This window comes from Homo sapiens, chromosome 12 (assembly GCF_000001405.40).
Source record: "Homo sapiens chromosome 12, GRCh38.p14 Primary Assembly".
In the NCBI taxonomy this organism is placed as follows: domain Eukaryota; kingdom Metazoa; phylum Chordata; class Mammalia; order Primates; family Hominidae; genus Homo; species Homo sapiens.
In genome coordinates, this window is record NC_000012.12 from 128,836,986 (window position 1) to 128,848,673 (window position 11,688).

General features: G+C 50.4%; 1 pseudogene; it reads right to left on the bottom strand.

The window, feature by feature from the left end:
- Window positions 1-7,392: 7,392 nt before the first annotated feature.
- On the bottom strand, window positions 7,393-11,489 carry LOC124903089 (uncharacterized; annotated as a pseudogene).
- Window positions 11,490-11,688: the final 199 nt, after the last annotated feature.

The following is an 11,688-nucleotide window of genomic DNA, read 5'->3' on the forward strand; positions in this document are numbered from 1 at the left end:
TCATTGGTGGGAATGTAGATACGTACAGCCAGTGTGGAGAACAGTTTGGAGGTTCCTCCCAAAACTAAAAATAGAGCTATCATATAATCCAGCAATCCCACTGCTAGATATATAGCCAAATGAAAGACAATCAGTATATCGAAGAGATATTTGCACTCCCATATCTATTGCAGCACTGCTCACAATAGCCAAGATTTGGAATCAACCTAAGTGTCCATCAACAAATGAATGTATAAAGATAATGTGGTACATATACACACTGGAGTACTGTTCAGCCATAAAAAGAATGATATCTTGTCATTTGCAACAACATGGATAGAACTGGAGGACATTATATTAAGTGAAATAAGACAGACACAGAAAGATAAACTTTGCATGTTCTCACTCATTCGTGGGGGCTACAAATTAAAACAATTGAACTCATGGAGATAGACAGTAGAAAGATGGTTACCAAAGGCTGGGAAGGGTAGTAGGGGGAAAGGAAGGAATGGAGATGGTTAATGGGTACAAAAATATAGTTAGATAGAATGAATATGATCTAGTATTTGATTGCACAGCAGGGTGGCAGGCATCTGTAGTCCCAGCTACTTAGGAGGCTGAGGCAGGAGAATTGCTTGAGCCTGGGAGATAGAGGTAGTAGTGAGCCAAGATTGTGCCACTGTACTCCAGTCTGGGAAACAGAGTGAGACTCCATCTCAAAAGAAAAATAATAATTAATTAAAAAAATAAAGAAATAGGCCGGGCGCGGTGGCTCACGCCTGTAATCCCAGCACTTTGGGAGGCCGAGGCAGGTGGATCATGAGGTCAGGAGATGAGACCATCCTGGCTAACACGGTGAAACCCCCGTCTCTACTAAAAATACAAAAAAAAATTAGCTGGGCGTGGTGGCGGGCACCTGTAGTCCCAGCTACTGGGGAGGCTGAGGCAGGAGAATGGCTTGAACCCAAGAAGTGGAGCTGGCAGTGAGCCGAGATCATGCCACTGCACTCTAGCCTGGGTGACAGAGCGAGACTCAGTCTCAAAAAAAATAAAATAAAGAAAAATAAAAGCAAAAAAGAAAAATCTCAGTGTATGATAATAAAGGAATCTGGCTGGGCAGGATGGCTCACACCTGTAATCCCAGCACTGTGGGAGGCCGAGGCAGGTGGGTCACCTGAGGTCAGGAGTTTGAGACCAGCCTGGCTAACATGGTGAAACCCCGTCTCTACTGAAAATAGAAAAATTATCCGGGCATGGTGGCAGGGGCCTGCAATCCCGGCTACTCAGGAGGCTGTGGCAGGAGAATCACTTAAACCCAGGAGGCAGAAGTTGCAGTGAGCCGAGATCGAGCCACTATACTCCAGTCTGGGAGACAGAGTGAGACTCCGTCTCAAAAAAGAAAAGAAATGAAAAGAAAAGAAAATAACTCATGAACAAATCTAGTATTTGATAGCACAGCAATAAACAACAATTTATTTTACATTTTAAAATAATTAAAAGAGTATAATTGGATTGTTAATAACACAAAGAAATGATAAATGCCTAAGGTGATGGAGACCCCATTTACCCTCATGTAATTACTACACATTGCTTGCCTGTATCAAAATATTTCACATGCCCCTTAAATATGTATACCTACTATGTACCATACAAGTTAAAAATAAAAAATTTAAAAATTTTAAAAACAGTTTGAACCAATATAAGCATACACACTCACAGAAAAAAATACAGATGCCTTTCATGAAAAAAAAAAGGCAAATTACACCAATAATTTTAAAATGCAAAAAGAGGAGACATGGTTTGTCACTTGACCTGAAAAATAGCCCGTGTTGGCTATGTTCTGGGAAATAAATATGCTCATAAATGACCAACGGAAAGTAAACCGGCACAGCTCTTCTGGAGGGCAATTAGTCACTTGTATCAAAAACTTACTGGCTTACACTTTGAATGTGCAATTCCACTTCTAGAAATTAAAGAATGTGTGCCCAGACTTACCAATAAAATGTTCATTACAATGTTGCATAAAAATCACAAAATGATTGGAAATGGCAAAGACGTACAACAACAAGGCAGAGATCAAATCAGTTCTAGTGTATGCATATACTGGAATGCTACGTCGTTATTCAAATGATACTGCAGAGGTAGGATTATGAGTTGGAAAAGTGTTCATGACATATTATTGTATTCATTTTCTATTGCTGCGTAGCAAATAACCACTACTTTAGCAGCTTAAAACAATGCCCACTGATGAGTTCACAGGCTTCAGGAGGCTGGAAGTCTAGGCGTTGATATGGCTGGCCTCTCTGTCCAGGGTCTCACAAAGCTGCAATCAAAGTGTTGGCCAGCTGAGATCTCATCGGGAGGTCAGGGCTCTCTTTCGTGCTCATGTGGTTGTGGTAGAAGGTAGTTCCTCGAGGAGATGGGTTGAAGGGCCATTTCCTTGCTGCCTGATGGCTGGGGGCCGCTCTCAGTTCCTGGAGTCGGCCTGCCTCCCTCATCACGCTGTCCTCTTCATCTTTGGAGGAGCAGTAGAGAATCTCCCTGACATCAAGTCACCCTTTGAATCTTTCTGACCTGAGGAAATGCTCAGTCCTTTCAAGAAGACAATTATTAAGTGAGGCTCATCCTGCGTAACCTTCCTATTTTAAGGTCAACCCATTTGGGGATTCAAGTCTCATCTGCAAGTTCTCTCCCTGCCAGCCCCTGGACTGACATGTGATGGATTTGGGAGGAGGTGTGTGTGTACACCATTGTTGGGAACTCTAGCGGGCCCTGTTAGAATTTTGCCTACCACAATTATTAAGTAATAAAGAGCATAATACCAAAATGTACAGGGTGTTTCTATTTCTTGTAGCAAAAATGAAAAACACAAACAAAACAGAACAAGAGCTGACAAGAATACTGTGTCCATACAGCAGAGCCAAGGAAACACCGTAGCGTTTCCACCGCCTGTATTACCTGCTGTGTCCATACAGCAGAGCCAAGGAAACACCGTAGCATTTCCACTGCCTGTATTACCTACTGTGTCCATACAGCAGAGCCAAGGAAACACCGTAGCGTTTCCACTGCCTGTATTACCTACTGTGTCCATACAGCAGAGCCAAGGAAACACCGTAGCATTTCCACTGCCTGTATTACCTGCTGTGTCCATACAGCCCCGCTGAAGAAGCACTGTAGCGTTTCCACTGCTTGTATTACCTCTGGGAGGCATCGCACCTTCCTGTGTCTCCAGCTCTTCGACTGTGAAATGGTGAGAACAGTCCCCAGAGTTTAGGATTCGGGAGGATTCATTGAAGGACACTGAACAGTGCTTAGAAAAATATTAGGCTCCCGGTGCACACCCAGTAAAGTGGACTATTACGATGATTGTATGTCAAGTCAGGAAAAACTTGATGCCAAAATATTCATAGTAGTTATCTCAGGGAAACGAAATTGTGTGAGTTTTTTTTTTTAATGGAGTTTTGCTCTTGTCGCCCAGGCTAGAGTGCAGTGCAATGGCATGATCTCGGCTCACTGCAGCCTCCGCCTCCTGGGTTCAAATGATTCTCCTGCCTCAGCTTCCCAAGTAGCTGGGATTACAGGCATGCACCACCACATCCAGGTAATTTTGTATTTTTAGTAGAGACGGGGTTTCCCTATGTTCAGGCTGGTCTTAAACTCCTAACCTCAGGTGATCCGCCCACCTCAGCCTCCCAAATTGCTGGGAATACAGGCGTCAGCCACTGCACCCAACCTTGTGATTTTTACAATTGTTTTTTGCTTATCTGAATTTCTTAAACATATCTTATTATTTAATAAAAATAAGTTAAAATGTTAAAAGAATAAATACGAGTCTCTGCCCACAACAGGTTGCTACTGAAAGCTGTTCAAATGCAGCCCATCATCCCTTGAGTAAACCTCTGATCCTTACGGCTGTGCCATGCACTGTTAAGCTCACTGTCTCCTTTGCAGGGACGACCGTCTTTGGGATGAGCGGCTTTGTGCTGCAAAGTTAAGAATTGGGTCTGCACTGTCATCAGAACAGCAGTGGGAATTGAAACCCCGACTTCTTGCCAAAAGCTCAAAGGGAAGAAACCACTTATTCTGGTTGACTGACTTCGTCATGTTCATTAAACAACCCTCGCAGGAACTAGATACTTCCAGAATAACAGAATTTTTTTTTTTTTGCAGTTGGTCACTTTCAAGTGCTATTAATAAAAGTCAGGAAAAGGAAACATAACTAGGGCAAAGAAACCACAATTCCACATGCACCTGCTTTATTCAAATGCGGATTTCTCTTTCCTCCCTCTCTTTTTCCTCTTCTCTCTCTCTATCTCTATCTCTCTCTCCATCTCTCACCCTCCCTCTCTTTCCCCCTCTCTGTCTCTCTGTCATTGTCTGTCTCCTGTATCTCTCTCTCCCTCTCTCTCTCTCTCCCTCTCTTCTTACCCCTCTCTGTCTCTTGTCCCTGTCTCTGTCTCTCTGTGTGTCTCTCTCTGTCTCTCTCTTTCTCTCTCTCTCTCTCTCTCTCTCTCTCTCTCACTCTCTCTCTCTCTCTCACACACACACACACACACACAGCATTCATAGTTTGCTGTACCATGGGGAGAAATGATGGTACAAAAACTAAAAACTCTGATAGAAACAAAGAAACAGAGTGCCTTTCCTGTTAATGCTCTAAAGGAAAAAAGGAGAGAAGTTGTGTTGATTTTTGTCACAGAGCCACTTCTAAAGTCAGTATGCCCACCATGCTTTCTCTTGAAAATGCTATCATTTTTGTACAGGGTAGATAATAAAGTTTTATTTTCCCTGGTGCTAGGAACTGGAAAAATAGTCTGAGCAAACACTATGATCAAAGAAAAAAACAGGTTTTGCTTTACATTTATTGTAAGACCCTTATGTTAGAAGCATCTGGAGAAATCTTATGAGAGATGTCTACAACTTTTTCTGTTCTACTGCTCTCCTCCTCGGTAATTATTTCTACATTATCCCATAATAACACATTGCATTTGTACCCTTTTATGTTACCTACTTGAGAGAATCATAAAAGACTCCATCAAAAGAACTAATTAACTATGATATTGTTTATCGTTTTTTCTTGTTTTACAAATGGGTAAACTGAAGCCATGAATGTGTAAAGTAATGGGTCCCAAAGGAGATGTGAGAATATCTTACCTTGTGGAACAGGTGTATTCCAGAACAACCAAATATAAGTGAATTTCAGTTCAGCAAATCCCCTTGTAACACTGACTCCCATTAAAAAGTCAGAAATGGGCCAGGCGCAGTGGCTCACACCTGTAATCCCAGCACTTTGAGAGGCTGAGACAGGTGGATCACTTGAGGTCAGGACTTTGAGACCAGCCTGGCCAACATGGTAACACCTCATCTCTACTAAAAATACAAAAAATTAGCTGTGCACGGTGGCATGTGCCTGTAATCCCAGCTACTTGGGAGGCTGAGGCAGGAGAATCGCTTGAACCTGGGAGGGGGAGGTTGCAGAGAGCCGAGATCGAGCCATTGCACTCCAGCCTGGGTGAGAGAGTGAGACGCCATCTCAAAAAAGTCAGAAATACATTCTTATAGGAATAAAATCTTGTAACAGTGCACATTTAAAGATTTGATGAAACTCAACAAACATTGATTGACTGCCTTTACCCAGGCATGTCACTGTCCCAGGCAAGCCGAGGTTATAGGCACAAATGACTTGGCTGTCGAGGAGGTCACTATCCAGTTGAGGGGAAGGGGCTGACTGCTCCGTGGCTAAATGCAGAACGGGATCAGGACAGCAGACAGGGCCAAAGAGCCTCAGGGTTAGGGAAGGTGAAGAATAGTCCCAGATGAGGCGATTGGGGGCCTTCATCAATGCAGTGATGTGGCTGGGCGTGGCGATTCATCCCTGTAATCCCAGCACCTTGGGAGGCCAAGGAAGGTGGGTGGATCACTTGAGGCCAGGAGTTCGAGACTAGCCTGGCCAATATAGCGACACCTCATCTCTACTAAAAATACAAAAATTAGCCGGGTCTGGTGGTGCGCACCTGTAGTCCCAGCTACCTGGGGAGCTGAGGCAGGAGAATTGCTTGAAACTAGGAGGCACAGTTGCAGTGAGCCAAGATTGCACCACTGCGCTCCAGACTGGGTGACTGAGCAAGATGTCATCTCAAAAAACAAACAAACAAAACAAACAACAACAACAACAACAAAATGCAGTCATCTTTGAAGAGGGATTTTGTGGTGGTCTGAAGGGTGGCCCCAAGAAAGAAATGTACATACTGTAATCCCCAGAACCTGTAAATCGGATGTGCTCAGTCCATGTGTGCTGCTGTAACAAAATACCGTAGACTGGGTGATTTTCAAACAATGGGAATTTATTTCTCACAGTTCTAGAGGCTGGGAAGTTCAAGATCAAGGCAGCAGCAGACCTGGGGGCAGGTGAGGCTGCTCTCTGCTTCCACAATGTTGCCTTATTGCAGCATCTTCCAGAGGGGAGGAACACTGTGTCCTCCATAGCAGAGGAGGTAGAAGGAATGAGCTCACCCCCGAAGACCTTTGAGGGGATGAACGCTGCATCCTCCATAGCAGAGGAGGTAGAAGGAATGAACTCACCCCCGAAGACATTTGATAAGACACTAACCATATCCATGAGGGCAGAGCTCTAATAGCCTAATCACCACCTAAAGGCCCCACCTCTTAATGCTGTTGCATTGAGGATTCAGTTTCAGCATCAGTTTTAGAGAGGACACCATCATTCAAACCACAACAGTGACATTATGAGAAAAAGTGATTTTTGTTGTAACTAAAATAGGGATCTTAAGATGAGGAAATCATCCTAGATTGCCCAGCATGCCCGAAATCACATGATGAGTGCCTTTACAATAAACTTACAGGAGGCTGGGCGTGCTGGCCCACGCCTGTAATCCCAGCATTTTGAGAGGCTGAAGCAAGCAGATCACCTAAGGTTAGGAGTTTGAGATCAGCCTGGCCAACATGGTGAAACCTCATCTCTACTAAAAATACAAAAATTAGCCAGGTGTAGTGGTGCTCACTGGTAGTCCCAGCTACTTGGGGGGCTGAGGCACGAGAGTTGCTTGAACCCTGGAGGTGGAGGTTGCAGTGAGCCAAGATCCCGCCACAGCATTCCAGCCTGGGTGACAGAGCTAGGCTCCATCTCAAAAAAAAAAAAAAAAAAAAGAAACTTACAGGAGGGGATGCTCCAGCAGAGGAGAAGGCCATGTGACCCTGAAGGCAGAGACTGCAGTGATGGGGCCACAAGTCAGGAAACACCAACAGGCTGGGCCCCATGACTCACGCCTGTAACCACAGCACTTTGTGAGGACAGAGCAGGAGGACTGCTTGAGGCCAGGAGTTTGAGACCAGCCTGGGCTACACAGGCAGACCCTGTCTCTAATTAAATTAAAAAAAAAAAAAGATGAAAAAAGAAAAAAGAAACACCAGCCACCAGAAGCCAAAAGATGCAACTAACAGGTTCCCCACTAGAGGCTCCAGAGGAAGGGCCCCTCTACTGACACCGTGATCCCAGACGTCTGTCCTCCAGAGCCAGAGGAAGGGCCACTCTGCTGACACCGTGATCCCAGATGTCTGTCTTCCAGAGCCGGAGGAAGGGCCACTCTGTGACACCGCGAGCCCAGACGTCTGTCCTCCAGAGCCGGAGGAAGGGCCACTCTGCTGACACCGCGAGCCCAGACTTCTGTCCTCCAGAGCCGGAGGAAGGGCCACTCTGTGACACCGCGAGCCCAGACTTCTGTCCTCCAGAGCTGGAGGAAGGGCCACTCTGCTGACACCGCGAGCCCGGACGTCTGTCCTCCAGAGCCGGAGGAAGGGCCACTCTGTGACACCGCGAGCCCGGACGTCTGTCCTCCAGAGCCGGAGGAAGGGCCACTCTGCTGACACCGCGAGCCCGGACGTCTGTCCTCCAGAGCCGGAGGAAGGGCCACTCTGTGACACCGCGAGCCCGGACGTCTGTCCTCCAGAGCCGGAGGAAGGGCCACTCTGCTGACACCGCGATCCCGGACGTCTGTCCTCCAGAGCCGGAGGAAGGGCCACTCTGTGACACCGCGAGCCCGGACGTCTGTCCTCCAGAGCCGGAGGAAGGGCCACTCTGCTGACACCGCGATCCCGGACGTCTGTCCTCCAGAGCCGGAGGAAGGGCCACTCTGTGACACCGCGAGCCCGGACGTCTGTCCTCCAGAGCCGGAGGAAGGGCCACTCTGTGACACCGCGAGCCCGGACGTCTGTCCTCCAGAGCCGGAGGAAGGGCCACTCTGCTGACACTGCGATCCCAGACGTCTGTGCTCCAGAGCCGGAGGAAGGGCCACTCTGTGACACCGCGAGCCCAGACGTCTGTCCTCCAGAGCCGGAGGAAGGGCCACTCTGCTGACACCGTGAGCCCGGACGTCTGTCTTCCAGAGCCGGAGGAAGGGCCACTCTGTGACACCGCGAGCCCGGAAGTCTGTCCTCCAGAGCCGGAGGAAGGGCCACTCTGTGACACCGTGAGCCCGGACATCTGTCCTCCAGAGGCGGAGGAAGGGCCACTCTGCTGACACCGGGAGCCCGGACGTCTGTCCTCCAGAGCCGGAGGAAGGGCCACTCTGTGACACAGCGAGCCCGGACGTCTGTCCTCCAGAGCCGGAGGAAGGGCCACTCTGCTGACACCGCGATCCCGGACGTCTGTCCTCCAGAGCCGGAGGAAGGGCCCCTCTGCTGACACCGTGAGCCCGGACGTCTGTCCTCCAGAGCCGGAGGAAGGGCCCCTCTGTGACACCGCGAGCCCGGACGTCTGTCCTCCAGAGCCGGAGGAAGGGCCACTCTGCTGACACCGGGATCCCGGACGTCTGTCCTCCAGAGGCGGAGGAAGGGCCACTCTGTGACACCGCGATCCCGGACGTCTGTCCTCCAGAGGCAGAGGAAGGGCCACTCTGTGACACCACGAGCCCGGACGTGTGTCCTCCAGAGCCGGAGGAAGGGCCACTCTGCTGACACCGCGAGCCCGGACGTCTGTCCTCCAGAGCCGGAGGAAGGGCCCCTCTGCTGACACCGCGAGCCCGGACGTCTGTCCTCCAGAGCCGGAGGAAGGGCCCCTCTGTGACACCGCGAGCCCGGACGTCTGTCCTCCAGAGCCGGAGGAAGGGCCCCTCTGTGACACCGCGAGCCCGGACGTCTGTCCTCCAGAGCCGGAGGAAGGGCCACTCTGCTGACACCGCGAGCCCGGACGTCTGTCCTCCAGAGCCGGAGGAAGGGCCACTCTGCTGACACCGCGAGCCCGGACGTCTGTCCTCCAGAGGCGGAGGAAGGGCCACTCTGCTGACACCGCGAGCCCGGACGTCTGTCCTCCAGAGGCGGAGGAAGGGCCACTCTGCTGACACCGCGAGCTCGGACGTCTGTCCTCCAGAGGCGGAGGAAGGGCCACTCTGCTGACACCGCGAGCTCGGACGTCTGTCCTCCAGAGCCGGAGGAAGGGCCCCTCTGTGACACCGCGAGCCCGGACGTCTGTCCTCCAGAGCCGGAGGAAGGGACCCTCTGCTGACACCGCGAGCCCGGACGTCTGTCCTCCAGAGCCGGAGGAAGGGCCACTCTGTGACACCGCGAGCCCGGACGTCTGTCCTCCAGAGCCGGAGGAAGGGCCCCTCTGTGACACCGCGAGCCCGGACGTCTGTCCTCCAGAGCCGGAGGAAGGGCCCCTCTGTGACACCGCGAGCCCGGACGTCTGTCCTCCAGAGCCGGAGGAAGGGCCACTCTGTGACACCGTGAGCCGGACGTCTGTCCTCCGGAGCCGGAGGAAGGGCCACTTGTGACACCGTGAGCCCGGACGTCTGTCCTCCAGAGCCGGAGGAAGGGCCACTCTGTGACACCGTGAGCCGGACGTCTGTCCTCTGGAGCCGGAGGAAGGGCCACTTGTGACACCGTGAGCCCGGACGTCTGTCCTCCGGAGCCGGAGGAAGGGCCACTCTGTGACACCGTGAGCCCGGACGTCTGTCCTCCGGAGCCGGAGGAAGGGCCACTCTGTGACACCGGGAGCCCAGACATCTGTCTTCCAGAGCTTCCGTGGCTTAGGCCACAGAGAAGTTCGTGGTTCTTTGCTTTGCAGCCCCAGGAAGCCTTGAGGGAGGGAAAGGTCAGTGTGGAGAAGAAGGAGGCCATGCCCAGCGGTGAAGAACTACTTCCATTTTAGAAAACAAAAAAGTGGCCGGACACAGTGGCTCACGCCTGTAATCCAAGCACTCTGGGAGGCCGAGGTGGATGGATCACGAGGTCAGGAGATTGAGACATCCTGGCTAACATGGTGAAACCCCGTCTGTACTAAAATATTTAAAAAATAGCCAGACGTGGTGGTGGGTGCCTGTAGTCCCAGCACTTTGGGAGGCTGAGATGGGCGGATCACGAGGTCAGGAGATAGAGATCATCCTGGCTAACACGGCGAAACCCCATCTCTACTAAAAATACAAAAAATGAGCTGGGCGTGGTGGCGGGTGCCTGTAGTCCCACCTGCTCCGGAGGCTGAGGCAGGAGAATGGTGTGAACCTGGGAGGCAGAGCTTGCAGTGAGCCGAGATCGCGCCACTGCAGTCCAGCCTGGGCGACAGAGTGAGACTCCGTCTCAAAAAAAAAAAAAAAAAAAAAATCCTGTCTCTACTAAAAATACTAAATTAGCTGGGTGTGGTGGTGCACGCCTGTAATCCCAGCTACTTGGGAGGCTGAGGCAGGAGAATCACTTGTACCTGGGAGGCGGAGGCTGCAGTGAGCCGAGATCACACCACTGCATTCCAGACTGTGCGACAAAACGAGACCTCATCTCAAAAACAAACAAACAAACAAACAAACAAAAAAACCAGAAATACCTGAAAGCTGTGTGCCGTGGCTCACGCCTGTAATCTCAGCACTTTGGGAGGCTGAGGCGGGAGTTCGAGACCAGCCTGGCCAACACAGTGAAATGTGATCTCTACTAAAAATACAAAAATTAGCAGGGCATGGTGGCACAGCTACTCAGGACGCTGAGGCAGGAGAATCGCTTGAACCCAGGAGGTGGAGGTTGCAGTGAGCTGAGACTGTACCACTGCATTCCAGCCTGGGCATCTGAGTGAGATCTTGTCTCAAAAGGAAAAAAAAAAAAAAGAAAAGAAAAAAAATACCTAAGACTGGGTAGTTTTTAAAGAAAAGAGGTTGAATTGGCTTGCGATTCTGCAGGCTGTACAGGAAGCACTGCAGCTTCTGCTTCTGGGGAGGCCTCAGGAAGCTTCCAATCATGGCAGAAGGCAGATGGGCAGTGAGGCGTCTCACATGGTGGGAGCAGGAGCAAGAGAGTGCGGCGAGTTCACACTTGTAAACTACCAGAGCTGGTGAGAACTTGCTTACTCTCATGAAGACAGAACGAAGGGGATGGCACTAAACCACTCATGAGAAATCCACCCCCATGATCCAGCCACCTCCCACCAGGCCCCACCTCCAACACTGGGGGCTACAATTTCACATGAGATTTGGGCGAGGACACAGATCCAAACCCATATCAGGGGCCCACATTGGACGTAGTTTCAAGGTGGACCTGGGCAGGTGTTTCCAGATGAGATTTGCGTCCGTGAACTGAGTTGAGCAAGTGCGCTCCCCGGTGTGGCTGGGCTTCATCCAATCTGTTGAAGGTCTGAGTAGAGCGAAAAAGGTGGAGGAGGCTGGGTGCGGTGGCTCACGCCTGTAATCCCAGCACTTGGGAGGCGAGGAGGGT